This window comes from Homo sapiens, chromosome 9 (genome assembly GCF_000001405.40).
Source record: "Homo sapiens chromosome 9, GRCh38.p14 Primary Assembly".
Taxonomy (NCBI): domain Eukaryota; kingdom Metazoa; phylum Chordata; class Mammalia; order Primates; family Hominidae; genus Homo; species Homo sapiens.
This window is the reverse complement of record NC_000009.12, coordinates 82,977,070-82,999,079: the sequence shown is the minus strand read 5'-3', so window position 1 is coordinate 82,999,079 and position 22,010 is coordinate 82,977,070. Positions and strand designations below refer to the sequence as shown.

The window sequence follows — 22,010 nt, the reverse complement described above, 5'->3', positions numbered from 1 at the left end:
TTATGGTTCTCTGATACACTCTTCAACATTAACAAAGCTGAAAGTTTACTTCAATTTGATTCATAAAAAGACTACATACAGTATTTGGTTCAGTTGTCAGAGACCATGATGCATGTAAATGTGTGTGTGCACTAACGTGTGTATATATACACACGCATATGTATACATGTTTAGATATACATACATTTATACATATATACCTACATATACATATACATACATGCATATACACAAAACACGTATCTGCACCTACACACATACATACACACACGTATACACCTGCACATTCATGCATGCCCACTCATACACACATGTACACACACCCACACACACACACACACAAATATGACTGAGTTCATCCAGTCATCAGGGAAAATAAAACAGATTTTTCCCTTGGCTCATAAATTAAATCATTCCCCAAGTCAGCCAACCTGCAGATGGTGCCTCTGCACACACGTGTGGTCTGACTTGTCATTCCTATTTGAAGGTCACTCTCCTTAAAGGTCATGTTCATTCCTCCCTCCCTGGCTGAGCTGTGTATTATTGGCTTTTGCTTCATCTAAAGAAGGCTTGAAAGTAAAAAGCCAATGGAATTATTTACATCGTGCTCTCCACTCTCACATTCCTTTTCAGGAGTTGATTTCCAAATGAAAACCCTCATTGTGGATGGAGAACGAACAGTTCTGCAGCTCTGGGATACAGCTGGTCAGGAGAGGCAAGTGCATTCCGCAGCGCTATGGGATATCCTGGGTTTGCATTAACAAGCCTTGCAGGCCACTTGATGTTCTTCATACTCAAAATTCTATAATTATAACATACTTTATAATTATATGCATAATTACATGTATAATTATAAAATGTATTATAACTTTAAAATGCTTATATTCTCGCACATCTCCTTCATTTACCTATGACTCCTGTGAGAAGAGGATCTTTAAGCTTCTTTTGAGCTGATGTTCAGTTGAGACAGAGAGTGCCCTTTGCTAACATGAGAGGCAGCATTTTTGAGTGCAGTGACAGCCTGAGGAACTCCCTGGCTATAGAACAATAAATGATGGAGAAGAGAACCAGTCAGCTCCCCTTGATTAAGGGCAGAGGCACAAACCGCATAGCAGACTTGCATTTGGTGATGGCACTTTACCTTGCATTCATTACCGATAAGCAGAGCATTAAGCACAGATTTTAATCTTGTTTAACTCCTTCGGAACAAAATCCATTCAATTGTTCAACCCGTAAGTATGGGGTGCCTGCCTCTGTACCAGGCATTATTCAGCATGCTGAGATTCAGTGGTGAACAGACAGGCACAAATACCTGCCCCCATGGTGCTCATATTCTCTAGCAGATTGGGAATTTCAACATATAAAAAATATTTGTGGTTGACATGACTGTATTTAAAATACTTATAAAATATTGCACTGGGTTTCAAGTTAGGGCATGTGTGTTGAGGTGTTCTCTTCCCAAGGTGAATCTCCTGACCCCCATGTATGTAAAGTCCTGGTATGTTACAGCGTTCCACACTGGTAGTTCCTCCATCCACCCACAATACTCCCTAACCACCACCACCACCAAAAATAAGTATTCTCTAGTTCGTATCTCCTTCCAGCCTCCTCTGTGTCCCACATGTGGGTTCTGGTAGCTTGTTGCTGAGGTTGAAATTTTTGGAAACTGTGCTCTCAACCTTTCCCTGGTTGTGCTCTGGGGATTGTAGACATTCTTGGGGTTGTTTGGTAGAGAGAAGGATTGGATTTTCTAAGTCGGTCACCCAGATTCTCATCATGTTACCTTTCATTGGGTCATTCGAGACCTTTGAAATGCCTATGTCTCAGTCATATATTGCAGTTAGAGTCTTCTCAACTGGTGTTGATTTTAGAAGAGGAGAAAAAAATGAGCATAAAAGAGAAGAAGAATGAGGCAACACAAACTGACTGATGATGTGGTTTTCTCTTTCTCAGATTCAGAAGTATTGCCAAGTCTTACTTCAGAAAGGCAGATGGTGTTTTGCTGCTGTATGATGTTACATGTGAGAAAAGCTTTCTTAACATACGAGAATGGGTAGATATGATTGAGGTAAGAAATCATAATGGAGAAACAGAAAATTACACGAGGAAGTTTTAGGCCATCTTGGAAAATGCTGTCTCTCTTCTTTGTCAGAATGAACTTGATTAGGAACCATTGATCCAAGCCATCAGGAAGAATTGGATGCTACAGGCAGAACTGGCAGCATTCATCTCTTCCTCAGGATTTGGGCACATTTCCCTGAAGCCAAGGACACTAATGAAGGGAGCTTTGGGGAATAAAACTTCTAGGTTTTCTTATAGATAAAATCAGAATCCCATCGTAAGCAAGTAAAAATCCAGGTAGCCTAGGAAGAAGTTATTACAAACAAGGAGATGGTGTGGTTGGTTGTGTAGTGTAGTTGGGGGCATGTGGGGGCATCCACGGGCATGGGAAGTACAGGTGAAACACCACCTGGATATGAGCGTGCGTCAAGTTTCAAATTGTATGGGAGCTCTCTTCTCTTCTCAACCTTATTCTGGTAGTGATTTGGGATCTTTAGATGTCTCAAGGTACTACCGAAATACCAGTTGATATTTTAAACATGGGCATAGCTTCTGTGCTTTCTGTGGTTAAATAAGATGATGTCTTTCACCTAAGGAACATTCCTGTCCTCTGGTTTCATGGTAAATAATTTTTAAAAGTAAATGATTTTGACCCCATTTAGCATGCTGCCAACAGTTACTAACATAACACTACAGTTCCAGCTATGGTTCAGCATGCTCTCTTGAAAAATAAACTTTTCAACTAAGTATATTAATACAACTTTTCAACTAAGTATATTACCTGTAATTTAAGAAGGCATTAAATTGCAGTAGTGGCTGAACAGAGGACTGGTTGCTGTCTGATCTCAATTTAGCTTCTGGCATTATTGTTCTCTTTCTAACTAAAGAAGTAGTGTGAGAAATGACTGATTGCAATTGGCAGTAAGACTTTGACAGTGATAAATAAATATGCACTCTGTTCTACCAACTTATCATGGCTTAAAATGATTGTAAACACAGTGAAAGTGTGTTTACATTTATGTAACATTTTTACTTCACAAAATTTCCCATGTTATAGTCATCTCTCTAGCATCTGAGAAATGAAATAAGAAAACATATTATCCTAAGTTTTTATGAGAAACTTGAGGCATAGAAAGCATAGGTAGCTCTTGCTTAGAGTTATTTAGTGGTTAGGAATAGAATAGGGGCTCAAACCGAACCTCCTGATTGAACAGTGGTTGCTGTTTTGATATAGCACCAGTGTGAGCAGAAGATTACTTGAAGAAGCCTCTGATATCAAGAAGGAATCCCAAGGACTATAATTCCAGCACTTTGGGTAGTCAAGGCAGGCAGATGGTTTGAGCCGAGGAGTTTGAGATCAGTCTGGGCAACATAGTGAGACCCCATCTGTACAAAAAATACAAAAATTACCCAGGCATGTTAGTATGGACCTCTAGTCCCAGCTGCTTGGGAGGCTGAGGTGGGAGGATCACCTGAGCCCTAGGAGGTCGAGGCTGAAGTAAGCCGTGATTGTGCTACTGCACTCCAGCCTGAGTGACAGAGCGAGACCCCCATCTCAAATAAAAAGGAATCCCAAGGTATAATTAGTGCATAGAGGAGCAATGGCTACTCAAGTGAACAAATGGAGATCCCTGGGATGGAGCAATAAGTCCAGAGAATAACAGATAACCCTAACTCATCCATACTAGTGTTTAAAATCCACAGCAAAACTGTTTTATTGTTGACATTTTGGATTAGTCTTTATTTAAAATCTTTGGGTTATGCTCAAGAAAAGGAGGCACAAAAGGCAAGATCAGCCACAGTGAAATAACCCTTATGTAGAGTGGCCCACTGCCATAATTTGCAAAGCAACTTCACACGTTGTCATCTTTTCCGCCATTGGTATCACGTTTTCCTATGGTCTGAAAAGGAAGAAAACTATAGAAGAGATGAATTCTTAAGTTTGTTATGGATGAAAAATTACATACTACTAATGGCATTTGACTTTCACCTTAGAAAAAGAATGAGCACAGTGAAGTTTCTCCATGGCTTACTGTTTCTAATTTGAGGAACTCCTACAGGGACAGTTTATATGGCCACTGTAAATATGGGCGGAAATGAATGGTGTGATCATTGGGGTAAGCCAGAGGATTGAGAAGCTGTAGACTGTCAGCGGTGAACAGACCCTCTGAATTAATAATTGATATACTTCAATGGAAAACTGCTGAGTTAAAAAATCTTGTAATAGAATTATGGATAAAGTAAAATTATAGCCATTTGTTTATCTGTCATGAATATTTTATTGATCGAATATTTGGGTAAAAGCTGAATGGAGATACTTGAGATGTAATATCTCTTCCCAGTTTTAACACATTCAAAACTATTTTTTGAGGATCTGCCCGGTTCCTGTGTAGTAGTCTAGGTTCTCGGGATATATCTGTTAAGAAAACAGAGCCCTGTCCTTATGGAGCTTGTGTTCCAGTGGGGGAGACAGATGAAAAGCAGCAAACATAGATCAATAAATGAAATGATATGGTAGAAGGTGATAATGTTATACAAACAAAACGAGAGCAGGTTAAAAGGCCTGACGATAAGGAAGTGGGCTGTGGTTTTCTTCAAGGTAGCCTCACTGGGAAGGACATATTTAAGTCAAGACTTGAAGGAGGTGCCCTTTACCTCTGTGGCTTTGAGAAGTCATTTAGATGCCTGGATTCTTGGGCTTACTGAAATGAATATTTGACTAATAACTTTCAAGTGATGCCCCTTGCATCCTGAGGTCATCAAAGAACACAATTAACGAGCGCATTAATGAGCGAAACAGCTAATTTTGGAGAGGGCCATTCATTCCCTTTCCTTTGATTTTATTACACTCTGGAGCCTTCAGTCCAAGGAAAGTTGCCTGAAGAGAAAGGAAGTCAATGATGATTTCATGTTGAGGCACGTTTTTTGATCCTGTATCAGGAATAGCCCCAAACCCAATGAGTACGCAGGTATCTTTAGTCACTGCAAAGAGTAATTTCCACATGTTTTCATCAGGGCTGCCACTTCTCTTATTTAGGAACCAGAAACTTGTGTTTCTGTGCTAGTCAGGTTGTCTTCTTGTATTCTCATCATAGCCTGCTGAGGTGGGAAATGCCTTCATTCAGTCCTTCATTTTACAGACAAGGAGACTGGAGCGGAAAGCTGCAGAGACTTGCCTGACCTCACACAGCCAGTGGGTCCAGCTGGTGGAGGGCTGGGTCTCAGACTTGCCTCTGCCACACTCATCTCACATTCTGTGAGCTTCACTGTGACTGTGGGACCCTGTGACAATTGCATAGGCTGACATGGGAGGCTTATCTTAGAATCCATTACTTTGAAAGATTGGTACTTGACTCTTTCTTAGAAAAATGTTGACCTTCAGGACTTTTATATTTTGCTTTTGTTGTAAACCAGAGAGCAGTGAGTGTGGAACTTCCAAACTCCCTTTTTGTTTCATTATAGTTGAAAAATTACTGTGTGTTTTATAACTGTAATAATGAACTTGGCTTGTGATCACTATTGTTTAAAATAACAGTTGTAGAAAATTATGTGGGCAGCACAGCCAAATATGATTCTGTGGTCATGCCTTTTGAGTTTATATTGGCTTGTAGTGCTCTGTGTGCTGGAGATAAGAAATTAACAGATATGTGTTTCCTTTGCCATAAAACTGATTAATCCCAGTGCCTTTTAGTCTTTTCATTAACCTAAGGATGGGGCATTATATAGAGGCAAGCGTTATGGAGTTAGTTTGGATCCAGGCCCTGACCCTTATACCTTCTTATTTAACCTCTCTGAATTTCAGTTTTCTCTTCTGTGAATGGGAAAATGTATGGCTGTTTTTAGAGATACTTTGAGGTTTAAAGATATCCTCTATATAGGATTTGGCACAAAGGAGGCAAAGGGAAAATGGTAATTGCTGTTGCTGTTGTTCTGTGGTCATCGTAATGTGTCCAGTGTTTGATGTGTGCCCCATTTTTTTTTTCTTCCTGGTAGGATGCAGCCCATGAGACTGTTCCCATTATGCTGGTAGGAAACAAGGCTGACATTCGTGACACTGCTGCTACAGAGGGACAAAAATGTGTCCCAGGGCACTTTGGAGAGAAACTGGCCATGGTAAGAGTGAGGATGCCTCAGAATTAGAAGAGAACATGGGGTTTAATGGCTTTGAAGTCGGTGGCCTTTCACTTTTGTCTACCTTTGCTTGAGAGGTCCTTTGACAAACCTCCCCCGTCTGAGGCATCTGTCCTTAACACAGGCAAAACTGCCATGACTCCCACCTCTTTTATGCCAAGGATTAAGTCCCTTGGGAAAATAAAACAATCACATAATCATTTTCTCCCATTGAGTATCATTGACAGAAAGGAACCCAAATAATCCCATCATCTTCCTCCTCCCTCTCACCTAGTTCCTAGAAACCTTCTCTAGTCCTGGAATCCAAGTAAAGGAAGAAAATAGTGTCCTATTTTGAAAAGATGGCTTTGGTTTCAGAGGGTTATAATGCCAAAGGCAGAAGAAGGTACAGTGTCTCACCTGTGTGGAAGGGAATTGGATGACTTCTTTTCTTCTCTAAGATTTGTGTTTAGTTGATATAAAAAATCATTCCCATATACAAATGCATATGCATTTTGGGGTATGCATTTGTATATAGGAATAAACTCATTCCTATTCAGATTGTTGTCATGGGCAGTGTTTATTCTCCCATCAGTGTCATCTGTCATCATGTCAGAATGCTACCTAGCTCTGTTATGACCTGTCTTACCCATACAAGTAGTCAGATGCACTTTGGGTCAAATAAATTAATATTGCAGCAGTCTGATTTGATGTTGATAGTGTTGTCTGTCGTCAGCACCAGGAAAGGACTACTCTGTAGCATACGTATGTGAACTTCAAAAAGAAGTTTCAGTTTTAATATTTTAAGCTGGAATAATCGTTCTTGTTTTAAAATTTAGAACTGCAAACCAAATGTGATAAATGTCAAAACTAGGCAATGAAATGCAGAAGAGATTCACTCAACCCATATTTATTGGTATCCACCATGTAACAAACACTTCATTGTGTGCTGGGCCAAGAGCAGAGAACAAAGCAAACAGTCCTTGCCCTCGTATTGTTTACTGTCTGAGGGAGACAGATGTTAAACTCATGAAATCCACATGCTAGACATGGTCTCACACAGATACTTTGAAATCTAGTTATTCTTGGCTGCCTGCCAGCTTTATTCCCTCTCCATGATTTCGCAGAGTTCCCAAAGTTTGCTTCCTTATGCATCTCTTGACCTCCACAGTCCTGCATCCTCAAAGGCAGTCTCTGTTTCACCCCATATCATCCTGGATGTAGAAGTCAACACCAGCACTGATGGTTTCTACCAGAAATGCATTTACTTTGTGGTGTTTGCAGATTTTCTATGGATTTGTGGGCTTACGAGTAAAGGTCCCATTGTGGCATTTTTCCCCATTTCCTGGCTTTTCTCATTCTCCCTGTTCTAGAGCAAGTGTCACCTCCTTCCCTTGTCCCACACAGGACTGTTTAACCCACACCTAGGCCCACAACACTTAGTTCTCCTTTATTAAGAGAAAATGTCTCCAGCTAGTCAGACAGGCACACAAAAATAACTTGAGCAATTATAATTGTGGCAATTGCTGTGCATGAGGATCGCAGAGTGCTATGAAAGTTTATGATGGGAAGTCCTAATACAAACTTTTCAGGGTTAGGAATGACTGAATCTTAACTGCAAGGAAGGATTACCTAAAAATCCCAAAAGTAGGTAGGTGTCAGACTGGTGGAGGGTGGAGGGAACCTAGGTGATGAGAAGAGTAGGTGCAAAGGTCCCAAGGTGGGAAGGCTTTGCGGACACTGGAGAATTAGAGGAAGGCCAGGGAAACTGCAGCTCTGTGAGTGAGTGGGGGATGAGTGAGGTGGGAGGTGAAGCTCAGAGCTTGCCTGGGGCCACGTGAAGCTGGGCCTCATTGGCCATGGAAAAGCATTTTCACATTACCTAAAGACAAACAGGAGGCATTGAAAGGTTTGAAGCAGGAGAGTGACATGATATCATATGCACTATGGCTGGGAGGTTGAATAATAGAGAACTAGAACGTGTCCATTGGTTTCAGCAAACGTGGAGGCTGCTGGATCCAGAAGGGAAAAGTTAGCGGGAAGGAGGGTGTGTTAGCTGCTGGCCAAAGGGAAACAGACTCTTGATGGACATTTAATTCCTGAGTGGTTACCTTGAACTCATTTTTATCTGTCTCGGAATATTTGATAAAGAACATTTGGTAGCATGTGTTTTGACTGTTGGAAATAAAAACCTTCAAACATGAAATATTCTATTTTTTTAATGTAAAGTAAAAGTCCTCCAACTAGGAACTTTTCCTGGAGTAACTATGCTTAAACCATTTTCTTTGTAAGTACTGGAACTCTGAATTCAGTTTCTTAGCTATTAGTTACTCTTAGCATGCTCAGTAGGAACATATTTTTATTTTACTGATTTTAAAAGCTAAAATTTCAGGAAACTCAATGAAGGGCTTCATTTAATTGTGTGTATTTCTTTTTTACAGACGTATGGGGCATTATTCTGTGAAACAAGTGCCAAAGATGGTTCTAACATAGTGGAGGCTGTTCTGCACCTTGCTCGGTAAAGTTTGGGAAAATGGATGTAGGATTGAATTTTCGCTTGTTGCATATGACACATTTCTTGTCCATAATGTGCAGATAGAATATATGCGGGAAAACACTCTCTTATCTGTCAGTCATGGTGGGAGAAATAAATATGTGGATATTATAAAAACTGGCAACGTTGCTGTCAACACTGGCAAAATATCTTTACTACCAAACAAAAGAGGTGCATCTGAGGTGTCATTGACATTTCTGAAAAATGTCACCACAAAGCTAATAGTTGACGTGTATGAATCATTTCCAGGAAGCAGATTTTATACACAAGGGACTATTATGAATACAACTGTCTATTATGATATTTTCCCGGGCAAAAGGGGAAAAAGAAACAAAGCAATTTGTATGTTATGCCAGTTAGAAACACTTTGTCAGAATTATTACCCAGGTAATTATTAAGCTAAGGCAATAGTGTTAATAATAAATAACATTTTGGATGTACAATAGAATGAAAATGGCATCATTAAAGAACTTGGATATAAATGTATGTGTTTTAATCCTTGAAGTAATTCTTAGGAAATAACATTCTACATTAGATTTTTCCCTCCTACCTGGTTTTCTGCTATAAATGAAAAGATTATTCTTTACTGGCCTAGAGGGATTAAATATCACAAAAAGGAAAAAAATCAAAATGTGCAATACAAATTTCAGAGCAATCATCTTTAATTGCAGACAAAGTTAAAATATAACTTTAGGCATGTCATTCTTTTTCTGATTATTTGTAAGGTTTTATAAGAATCTTAATTTTAGTATGATAATTGGCCTTTTCTGCTAGTAAATATTGATAGTTAAAATACTTTGCAATATCTTTAATGCTGTTTTTCAATTAATGACTTAGGGCCGGGTGCAGTGGCCCACACCTTTAATTCCAGCAGATCCCATTGGTTTCAGCAACATGGAGGCTGCTGGATCCAGGAAGGAAAAGTTAGCAGGAAGGAGGATGTGTTAGTTGCTGGCCAAGAGGAAACAGATTCTTGATGGACATTAATTCCTGAGTGATTATTTTTATCATTTTTATGAGAGGCAAGGCTGGAGGATCACTTGAACCCAGGAGTTTGAAACTAGCCTGGGCAACATAGTGAGACCTTGTATCTATTTAAAAAAAGATATACACACACACACACACGCACACATGCACACATACATATACATATATACATTAATGACTTGGCATTTATAGTGCTTAATAAATTAGAGTTCTATTAATAGAATGTTTGGACTAGGGCTACAGGATAAACTGTTGCCCTCACTTAAGAGAATCAGGAAATGGACTTTGGGAGTCCTGCTTGGCATTAGTTTGTGGCAGGGTTGGCAGATGCCCTGTATTCACACTCAAGAGTCTTCGAACATTTCCCTCTTTGACATCAGTCCAGGAGAGAGAGTCACCTCCCCCTACAACACTGGAAATCATTTTTGTTTAAAGCAAAAACAGTGCTAACCTTGAATGTGACCTAGCACATTTTTTCCTTTTGCATTAGGCTGTTTTGTGCATCTCTATAAAGGAATACCCGAGACTGCAATTTATAAAGAAAATAGGTTCAATTGGCTCATGGTTCTGCAGTCTTTACAGGAAACTTAGCACTGGCATCTGCTTGGCCTCTGGTGAGATCTCAGGGAGCGTTTACTCCTGGTGGAAGGTGACGGGGAGCCAGCGTGTCACATGACGAGGGAGCAAGGAGAGGGGAGGGGCTACTCTCTTTTAAACAACCAGATCTCCTGTGAACTCAGAGCGAGAACTCACTCATCACCAAGGGATGGAGCTATGCCATTCATGAGAGAGCCACCCGCTTGATTCAATACCTCCCACGAGGCCCCACCTCTAACACCGAAGGTCAGATTTCCACATGAGATTTGGAGGGGACAAACATCCAAACCATTTCATCTTTTAAAAGAAAAAAAAAGTGAATATTTGAACACATATACATTCAACTAAATTAGATGGGTTATTTTGTGTGTTTTTTTGTATGTTTGTTTGTTTTTGGCTGTGAATAGTAGGAGAATCATGGACTAATATCACATTTGTGCAAAAAGAGTCAGAGTAAAACTTTTATCTGTCGGGTTGAATAACAGATTCCACGCACTTATGGGTGCACAGGGAACACCAGCTATTTTGGCTCAACAAGCTACATTCAGTAAAGAGGGGAGAGTTCAGTAAAATGCAGAATTTGACTTCACTAAAGATCAAATAACTGTTGGATTGTCAGGTTTTTACTTTTCAAATGGTTGTGTTGGTGTTTCATTCATAAGTTGCTGGGAACAGCTGGATGGAAGTGATATAGTTGCTGGCACAGATGGCAGTGGGGAAGGATCTGCAGGTCTTTGGAGCATCCCTGGTATGCCTTAGCCTTGGTCAGCGGAACACTGCATTGCTGCTCCCATGCAGCAGTAACAGATGCAGCAGATCAAGCCTTGCATGTGGTTACTAGCTGCTCCCCAGCATATTGGAGGATTATGGTGTCAGGAGGCTCAAAGTCCATTCTTAAATCTGTTTCTAAATAGCTATGAGGTCTTGAACAAGTCCCTGTATTTCTTTTGGCAACTCTAATCTGTAAAATGAGGGAGGGGCCTAAAGGAAATGATCTCAAAGGTCCTTTCTAATTCTAAGAGCCTGTGACTCTGTATATGACAGTCTGTACTCCACTGAATATCTTAATCATTGTTTAATGCTCAGTTGTCTTATGGGGTCATATTAAAGTTATATGGCTCCAAAGTGCCCCGGTGAAGAGTCGATTCTCTTTATTATGTCATAAAGATGGGAGAGGCTGTAAGTTTCCTGTGCCTTTCTCCCCATCTGCTCCTGTGTGGCATGTTGGGTCAGCCACGTGTTGGCCCTGCTTACAATGAAGCTTCGACACTAGCTTGTGTGTGTTTACTTAAAACACCTGGTTTGCAAAAGAATTTTGATAACTAGGTTATTTCAGCTGCATAATGGATAGGTTATAGTTATTTTAAAAAGCTTTAGACAAGTAAAGAAATAAGATAAGCTTCTTGCGAATCATTTATCATAGAGGTTTTTGTTTTATTGTTATTGCATTATGGCCTGGCTTTGGGCTTCTAGTGATGTTAGTGATGTGTTAAATATAAAAATTATAAATAAAGCAAACATATGAAGACCTTAATTGCTTTATACTTAGCCTTCGGATTGGCTTTTCAAAGTACTCAACCCTTAAATGGAAATGTTATAGTCTCCACAGGTAAAATTACCATTTGTTGAAGTTTTACAACCTTGGGAAATTTATGTATAATGCAAAACATATATGTTCTCAATTTAGATTTCATAGGGTGAGATCATATAATGTCATAAAACTAGGAGAAGGTATGGGTTTGCACTGTCTCAAACAATTTATTTTTAAAGGGAGGCCATAAATATTTGGTTAACAACCTGAACTACTCTGCATTTTCTTAGAAAATCTTTCAATCCCAGGAAGAGTTTCTCCTAGGAATGCAATTTCTATATAGTGCTGATAGGTCATCGTTCATAACCATTGTCCCATTAGTAAGTAAATTTTCCATCACCAGAACCACAGGCTTTAAACATTTTGCAGTAGATTCAAGTTCAAGAGGCATTTAATTATCAACTGCCTGAAATTGGAGAAAAACACAAAAAACTTAGGCTGATGTATCAGTTCAGCATCAGAGCTGAGCCCATTGGGTGTAAATCTGTCCATAAGACTGAGTCAATTAAACTGCAGTTGTTAAGCGTATGGTAGATTTTGGTGAGCCCTAATTTTCCCAGCCTTAAATCTGTTTTAGATGTTTGGAATTGTATCTTTATAATTTCCTTAAAGTGGAGCATGCCTGCATTTTTGGCTGAAGGCCAGATGAAAATGTGGGTATATACTTTCCCCCTTAATATTTGCTTTCAGGTTCAATAATGTCTGCATTATTGGCACTTAACACGTGCATAGCCCCATGCTATGTTCAATAGAGACATCAAGGGATTTAAAGACTGGCCTTGTAATTTAACATTACAGAAAAGAACATGACAATATATGACCAGGCAGCCATATGGTACGTAGCTGATAGAGGCCATTGGATCTACAAGAAGAGAGAGATGTGAATTGTTCAGTGAAGATGCTATGGTTATTGTACCCATTTTACAGAAGAGGAAATTGGAAATTAGAATACTTAATCTGCTTGCTCAGTGACACAGCTAGTAAGTGGCAATGTGAGGACTCTTCACCACCAACCTGGATCACTGGCTTGCTGTTTAAATGTTGGTAATCTCAGGGTCTCTGACTGTCCTCTCTTTCTTTTCACTCTCTGTCTGTCTAATGTCTTCCATCCACACAGCTTCTGGAACCATCTCTACCTGGTAACTTCCAGTTTTTGTATTTTTAACCCCTCACGTCTTTTTAAAATTCCATAAGCATAGAGTGAACCCCCACCGGAAACGCCATAGCCATGGTGACTCTGCATATCCAAATCCTGGTGTGTTCATGTGGCTTTAAGCTTGTTCCTCAGTCTGTATTCCCTTTCTCTGGAATCTACCAAAATTATAATTAAACAATAGTCACCTGGAGTCAGTCTTGATTCCTTTTCTCTCTTGCTTCACCCCTTGCCTCCAGTGGCTTCTGAAGGTCATCTTTCAGTCTCTTTTGAATCCATGCATTTTTCTCGCTTTCTCCCTTTTTCTGCTTTGGTTCAGGCCTCAAAATTCCCTACCTGGGCTAGTGCAAGAATTTCTGCCTCAGGGTTTCTCCAATATCAGTTCATCCTCTACTGTGGAATCAGGTAATCTTTATAAATAAAGATCCAGTTAATATTTACTTTCTTGCGTCCAACCCCACATTGGTGTCTTACTGAAAACACAGAGTCCCAGCTCCTTAGCATGTGGCTGATAGCCCATCACAGCCTGATATGGTTTGGCTGTGTCCCCACCCAAATCTCAACTTGAATTGTATCTCTCAGAATTCCCATGTGTTGTGGGAAGGACCCCGGGGGAGGTAATTGAGTCATGGGGGCCGATCTTTCCTCTGCTATTCTCGTGATAGTGAATAAGTCTCACGAGATCTGATGGGATTATCAGCGGTTTCCACTTTTGCTTCTCTCTCGTTTTTCTCTTGCTGCCACCATGTAAGAAGTGTCTTTTGCCTCCCCCCATGATTCTGAGGCCTCCCCAGCTACGTGGAACTCTAAGTCCAATTAAACCTCTTTTCGTTCCCACTTTTGAGTGTTTTTATCAGCAGCGTGAAAACGAACTAATACACAGCCTGACCTTTCTGGTTGAATTTCTATCTCTTTTTCCCAAATGAATGATAATCTGTAGACACAGCAAACTTCATCCAATCAGGCCAAGCTCTTATGCCTCTGCCTTTCTGCATGCTGTTCCCTGCATCTGGAATCTCCTTTTCTGTTCTTTCAAAAGGTCTCTCCAATGTCAAAAGTCTCTATGAAGCCCCATTTCCGTGAAGCCCACAACACATCTGTGGGCACAGAGTGCATCTGTGGTAGCTGCTGTCTCAGGACCATGAAATTATTTATTTAGACATCTGACTCTCCCTTAAAGCTCAGTAGCTGAAGGTCCCAGAGCCTGGCATAAGTTGGGCATTTATTCAATGACAGAACGACCAAGATTTTGCATTTGGAAGTTGTGTTACTCTTCCGTTGTCCTTGTAATGAACTCCCACAGATGTAGAGGCTTAAATAATGCAAATTTATTATCTGACAATTTTGGAGGTCAGAAACCTGAAATGAGTCTTCCCGGGTGTTAGGGTTTGAATTGTGTCTCCTCTTTCTTCTCCTGAGTCTCTGTTGCCTCATCTGTGAGGTGAGGATAGTACTACTCACCCATCTCCTGTCGGGTGTGTGTGTCTGGGGTATATATCAAATATGAAAAACATGTATATTGCATTTACCAGCTGTCCTATAGCTAGAATCAGTTTATTTTTTTCCCTGCTGAGATGTCTTCTTTCCAATTCACAGTGCAGTGGATTTCGAAAGGTAGGATTTATCAGCACCTTCTGCAGCTAAGCTGGCCAGTTTGGTAGCCACTAGCCACTCACAATGTGGCTAATCCAGTTCAGATGTGCTGTATGCATTCAATATAGACTGGATTTTGAAGGCCTTCTACACATTATCTCATTAATAGTGTTTTTATTGACCACATGCCGAAATGACAATATTTTTGCTATACTGGGCTAAATAAAATATATTAATAAAATTAATTTTACCTATTTCTTTTTACCTTTTAAAAATCTGGCTACTAAATAATTCAAACTGACATATATGGATCCCATTGTATTTCTGTTGAGCAGTGTGGCTCTGCTGGAGAGACACAGATTCCCGCTAGTTTCAGTTAAGTGCTTCATCATAAACCATCCCAAAACTTGGTTGCCCAAAACAACAACCAATTTTTATTTCTCACAGTTGGCAGAGGTGGCTGGATGTCAGCCGGAAAGTTTCTTGACTGCTTTTGCATGAGTATCTCCTATGTTTGCAGTCAGATGGCCACCGGGGCTGTGGCTCGGGCTGGATGTCAGCCACCAGGGTGCTTCTCGTGGCTTCACTCCACGTGGCATCTCAGTCCCCAGGGCCACTCTGGTGGCCTCTCTCCATTGAGGAACCCTGGACTCCTTGAACCCTGGACTTCAAAGGGGGTAGAGATTGCTGCAGCCCCGCATTATAAACACTTGGGTTTAGAAGCCACAGAATACCATTTCCTCCATATTCTATTGGTCAAAGCAGGTGGAGAACCAGCTCTGACCAAGAGGGTAGGGGATCAAACCTTCACCTCTTGATGGGAGAGGCATCAGGCACTGACAAGGAAGGGCAGAATTATTTGGGGCCATCTTAGGGAGGCACTCATCTCGCTGGCAGAGATAGCCGTTCAGCTTGTCTAAGGTGAGACTTCTGGTCTTCATATTTCACAAGCATCCCCAGTGGCTACACCTGGAAGGATACTTCCTTAGGGGGTTTTCATAAGATCTTGGAGAGTAAGACATTTTTTCGTGAGTCTTGCCTCTAGCAGTTAATACTGGAAGAAGCTTACGATGACAGAAAGGGATGGTGGTAAATCCATTGTTACCTCCATGATCATGTATAATTAAAGAACGGTTATAAAATCACCATTGCTTTTGTTAAGCTCAGCAACCATTACATGAAGCTGGAAACCTGGTTCCAGAGTGTTAAGGAGCAAGCTGTGTGTATCGCAGGTTCTGCAGCATCCTGAAACCTCAGGAGAGAGTGAGGGGAGAAGGGTGTGTGTGTGTGTGTGTGTGTGTGTGTGTGTGTGTGTGTGTGTGTGTGGCCTGGTACTCAGAAAACAGGTGCTGGAGCCAGCCTGTGTGGTTTTAATCCCACTTCTGTAGTCATGTGACCTAAGGGAACTGTCTTAACCTCTTTTTGCCCTCATTTCCTCACATACAAAATGGGGCACAGCAAATTTATATGGTTCTTATGAAGATTAAGTCAAGACCTATAAAGCATTAAAACAATGTCTATAAGGCCGTGCAGACACTCAGCATGGCTATTTTTATTTCTACAGAACCATCTGTGGCTTAGTTTTTATACCTCAGTAATCCTCTCTCTCTCTCTCTCTCTCTCTCTCTGTCTCTCTCTATCTCTGTCTCAGAGAAGTGAAAAAGAGAACTGACAAGGATGACAGCAGATCCATTACCAATCTAACCGGGACCAATTCCAAAAAGTCACCACAGATGAAGAATTGTTGCAATGGCTAAATCCCAAACATCCTTGGCCTGTGAAGTCTTCATTTCCAGAATACTGAATTTGTGTGACTTATTTGGCTCTTAACAGAGTGGCACATCCTACTGACACTGTCCTATGGAGAGTTACAGTGCAGGAAACCTGAACCCAGCTCTCAGGTCCCTCTGGAACTTTGGCTCTTCTTTGTTTTGTCTCAGTGAGTGATTTGGGCCCTCTGGCTAAATAGACTAGTCATGTCCTTACAGGTCTTAAAAGATAACATGTAAATGTTTTTAAAATGGTAAAAAAAAAGAAAAGAAAAGAAATCACATGCTCAGATCAAAGCTGTAGAGGAAACTGACATAATTAGATTCATGTGGTAGCTGAATTAGGTTACCCACAAAGTCAGCATTTAAATATTTGATACTAAAGTTCTAGTAAGAAGGGATTCTCATCCTAGCTTTGCTGTTAACTGGCCTTGTGACCTTGGACATGTCACAAGCCCATGTCGGATCTGTTTCTTCATCTGTAAAATGTGCAGCTTGCCCTCAAAGGCCTTGCAGCCCTTGGCACCTCAGATTCTGTGGGAAGCAGTAGGACAGAGAGTGTGGTGGCCCACAGTTAATAATAGAACTATGGTTATTCCTGCTTTTTAATATTGGAGTATTGATTTTTCTCACTTCTGAAATAAGGACAGAATTTGATTAAAAAATGGAAACAGAAATATCTATTTTTTATGTATAAAGAAACATGTTTGAGACAAAAATAGTTGTATATAAAAGGATATTTCATAATCTCAGAATAGTTACAAAGCTCACTGCTTGAATTTGGTGTTAAAAATTCTAATGGAAACATGTAAAGCCACATACTACTGAAAGCACAATGCCCAGGAAAGTTGTCACTCTTCACTTAAGGGAGTGGTTGCCAGGGGCTGAGAAAGGGAGGATGGGGAGTGACTGCTAATAGGTATGTGGTTTCTTTGGGCGATGATGAGAATGTTCTGGAATTGGAATAGTGGTGATAGTTGTATAACTGTTTGAATGTACTAGGAACCACTGAATTGTATACTTTGAAAGGGTGAATTTTATGGTTGTGAATTATCTCACTAAAAAAAATGCTAGTACTTAGAGTGATGTAACATTTTGCAAAATTTTCATTTTCGTATCCCTGCTGATTTCAAACCTTCCCATGGTTTAGAAGCATAACCTGTAATGTAATGCAAGTCCCCTAACTCCCTGGTTGCTAACATTAACTTCCTTAAGTAATAATCAATGAAAGAAATTCTATGCATGGTTTTGAAATAATATCCTTGAAAGAGGAATCACCATTAGGAAAGGTGAGTCAGGGTCCTTTGTTTAATGTGACTAGTGGCTCATCATCACCAGTGACCTGGTTGGGCCTACTCTCCTTCCAGAACCTGCATTGCTTCCCAGACCTCCCCACTGAGATGCCTCTAAGAGCCAAAGGAGTCAACACTTGAGCCTAGGGTGGGCTACAACAAAAGATTCTAATTTACCTTGCTTCATCTAGGTCCAGGCCCCAAGTAGCTTGCTGAAGGAACTTAAAAAGTAGCTGTTATTTATTGTATTGTATAAGCTAAAAACATTTATTTTTGTTGAATCGAAACAATTCCATGTAGCAATCTTTTTTCTGTTCACGGTGTTTGTGATAGAACCTTAAATTCCGCAAGCATCAGTTTTTTGAAAAAATGGGAATTGACCGGATAGTTACAGGCAAAGATTATAAATAGCTACAACATCATTTAACTTTTATAAACATGCCTTCTCTCTATTGAAGACATCTGATATTTTTGCTGGAAAGTTGGATCTATCCTCAGTAACTCTGCCATGAATTCCTGTTTCCTGGTTCCAGAAAAAGAAAAGATTACATTTCTGATCATAAAGAATGTCTTGCATATGGGAAATTTTTCAAAATAAGGGGGGTATTATTTATGTGGCATGGGAAAACTTTTGCCATGGCTGTTTGTCTTAGTGGCATCTTTTGATGACATTGGATCAGATATATGTAGATGCTGATATATGGGACACATGTTTAGGTTTTGGTGCAGTTGCACAAAACTGTGTTAGTTTATATGTTACTGTGTTGCCTTTATTTATTCTCTCCAAAGTGTCTCTTTATATTTGTTTTACAATCTGTGAAAGAGTATACCATAATACAGAAGTATTTTCATAGTCTTTACCTCTGGATTGTCCTGTCAGTATAGCCACGTTGATGAGATTACACCAGTGCCTTTGATGGTCAACCAATCATCTTTAAGTATTTGAGCCCTGATAAATATTTTGGTAACATAATCCAAATTAGAGACTTAGAGCTCTGGTTAGCAATCATGTTTAAAGAGAAGCTTCTTAAAGCTCTGTATGCTGGGAGATTCATGATTATTACCAACGTTTTGATTTCATGAAGGTGTTCTCAAATTTAAAGCACATTTTCAGTAAGAACAAAAATATTTAATGTTTTTATCTTAGACTTGATACATTTGCATATTACTATGGAAGTTATTCACCTTGTCCCTGTTTTTCTTTAAGATATTTTAAAATCATAGTTATACTACAGTCCTTTTTTAAATGTATCCTGATACATTGTAAAATATTTTAATTTCATTGTGGAAAATAATGTTGGATAAGGAGATATTTTTCACTGTTAACTTTTAGCCCATGCATTTTCATAATTTATTTTTTTCACTTGCTGCTTTATATGACATATGTGACATTTGATTATTTAACACTTGATGTGATCTGCATAAACCCAAGTTGCACAACCCTCCTGCTGAAGATAAAATTGAGGTTAAAGATAAAGATTTATTTTCATATTTGTACAGTGATCGGCTTCAGTGATGGTTTTTGTGGGCATTTATTGTGTGTGTGTAAGAAATTTCATATGTATATATTAAGTAGGCCTCTGAGTATTGAATAATTGTTTTATGATTTTGATTTATATGGTTTACATTTTCATTGTGTGGGCCATATTTCGTTTATACTGTTTATTTCTCTTCAAACCTTAATAATTATACCATAAAGTGTAATTTTTATAGCAATGCAAATGTCTAAGGAACTACAAATATTTTCTACGTTGTAAATTCAATAAAGCTTGCTTCCTTTGGCCTTTTGAGTGTTTCCTTCAGCTTTACTGCAGATATCCCTGAAGTAATTTTAATTCTAGGATGTGTCTGCCTGAAACCATACCTCTAAAACACTTGTCTTTTCTGGCCATGGCAAGCCGAGTGTTGGGAGAGAAGAATGCACGCCTGGTATTCAGTGCTGTGGCACAGACAAGTCATCCTGGCCAACAGGGCAGCAGGTAGACCAGCTTGGGACAGGACAGCCAGGAATAGTGAGGCCTCTGTAGAAGAATGTCAGTGTTCTGGCCATCCGCACATCCTCTGAGGAGTTAGACCTTTTCTCTGATTCTCACCCCTTTCTTTCTACCCCCACATTCCCATGCACCCCAATAGGCTGAGGCTACCTGCCCTCACTCCTGTTGTACCTTTTAAAATGTGTCAACATCCTTCTTGTCCTTTTACTTATTACATAGACAGATGCCCCATGTCCTTAGCCACTTTTGTCTACTGCCGCCTCCCTTCTGTTGTATGCAGTGCTTGATACTTTAATTGTCCTAATTGTTGAATGGATGGTCAAGGAATTAACTGGTTAAATAAGGTAGGCTTTGCAAAGAGTGTCTGCCAACACCCACCACCACCAACACACACACACAGACACACATACATGATGATGGTGGACAATATAAGTACGAGGCAGTATAATATCAATGGGTATGAGCTCTGAGGCCAGCCTGCCTGGTTTGAACCTGGCCTCAGATGTAGTAGGGTAACTATGAACAAGGGACTTAACCTCTGTGTATCCCAGCTTCTTTATTTGTAAAATAAGAATGGTAACAGTACCTTTCTTGTGGAGTTGTTCTGAGAACTAAATGAGTTAATGTATGTAAAGGTCTTGAATCATGCCTGACACTTTGATTGCCCTCAATTAAAAAAACAAAACATTTTTGCAGCACCATTGGCTGCATCAGTCTTGTTCAAAACCCTGGGTACGGCCACCAATGAATAACAGAACTCCAAAAGTGTGCCAGGTCACATGGGGGATAGAACATTTTAGAGGATTCTCTTTGACTTAAGTTCATTGACTACCTTTCACGTACTTTCTTGGTGTTTCAATGGACACAAAGTTGGGGTATCATATAGGATAGGTTATTGTGTAGGGTGGATTAACAGAGGAGGAAACAACTGAGAGAGAAATAAGGGTCTGAAAGTTAGAATGGAAAAGTGTGAATGGAATCATGATTAGGGTAGGATCTCCATTTACTAATGGCTGCTAGGATCAAGTAGTGGAAGGAATGAGGAATATATTAGAGTCTGACTGGGATTTTGAATCTAAATGATAGCAAAAGTGGTAGTGGGATAATGGAATTCTCTAACTAAATGGAAACCAAACTTTATAATATGACTAATAGCTTGTTGAAAAAGAAAGATTGCCCATAGATACATCCCCAAATCCACACGATGGGAATGAATCCCCAGGAAAGCATATCATTTTGCAAGATTTAAAATAAAAAGAACAACTTTTCTTTCCAGAGACCAGCATTAAAATATGTTTCCATAGCTGAAAATGGAGAAAAAGATAAAAATACTTCAACTTGATATTACAGAGTAAGATAAATTTTCAAATGCAAAATTCTAGGAATAACCATTTTCTTTATTTTTCTCTGCAATTTTTTTTTGCATCCACATGTAAGATTTATTTGTGAGTTTATACTAATTTTTTGTAGAGGTGGGAATTTAGTTGTAAGGCCCTTTAACTTGTGATCTGTCTGGCTGGTAGTTCATGAGCCACATTTCACAGCATTTGACTTAAGATTTACAGAGTTCCTCATTGTCCTTGGGATGTTGGCTTTCTGAATATCTTTAAGTCCAAGTTTTCCTGCACGTTTTCCCATTGCTGGGCAATGGAGTAGAACTTGAGAGCTGGATAATTACCTTTTCAAAGAGAGTCTTATGAGTAGTTCCTGTTTGATTTTAGGGGTAAAATTTATGTTATTTAATTTGCCACAAATCTCTTCTTGCTCATTTTAGAAATGGATGTTTTACCCTTTAGATAAAATCTAAAATCTTCTTAACATGATGTCGAAGGCTCTCTGTGATCTGGTTCCTGCCTGTTCACTCACCAAGTCAGTCAATATTTACTGAGCCCCACTGTGTCCTGAGTACTATTCTAGACAGTGGGGATACACAGTGGATAAGACAGACTCTCAAAGAGATTACATTCTGTTGGGGGTCGACATCAAACTCGTAAACAAAAGGAAGTTCCACATTCTGCCTCCTCCCACATTTCTCCATCCTGAAGTCTACACTGGGGCACAGGAAACTGTTCCTTATACACTCCATGCTCGCTCACCTCCAGCTGTTTACTTAGGCTTTGCTTTCTGCTTGGAATACCATTGTCCACTCGAGTTTCCCTACCCAACTTCTGTACATCCTGCACACCTCAAATCAGAGATCACTTCCAGCAGCTGTGTCCAACCCCAAAGTCTGAGCCAGATCCTCTCCTCCATGCATATCTGCCCCAGTGCCCATCACAGCACTTTATTAGACTGGGTTGTCATGATCA

General features: G+C 39.8%; 1 protein-coding gene across 5 annotated transcripts in view; it reads left to right on the top strand.

Moving 5' to 3' along the window:
- Nucleotides 1–19,490, top strand: part of RASEF (RAS and EF-hand domain containing) — a 239,635-nt gene extending 220,145 nt beyond the window's left edge. For all 5 annotated transcript variants that reach the window (XM_047422827.1, XM_005251730.5, NM_152573.4 and 2 more), the window contains 5 exons: nucleotides 634–715; nucleotides 1,954–2,068; nucleotides 6,055–6,174; nucleotides 8,613–8,689; nucleotides 16,298–19,490. In XM_047422827.1, the coding sequence (XP_047278783.1) occupies nucleotides 634–715; nucleotides 1,954–2,068; nucleotides 6,055–6,174; nucleotides 8,613–8,689; nucleotides 16,298–16,403 (500 nt within the window). In that variant the 3' untranslated portion in view covers nucleotides 16,404–19,490. The remainder of the gene's footprint in view (nucleotides 1–633; nucleotides 716–1,953; nucleotides 2,069–6,054; nucleotides 6,175–8,612; nucleotides 8,690–16,297) is intronic.
- The last annotated feature ends 2,520 nt before the right edge of the window (nucleotides 19,491–22,010 follow it).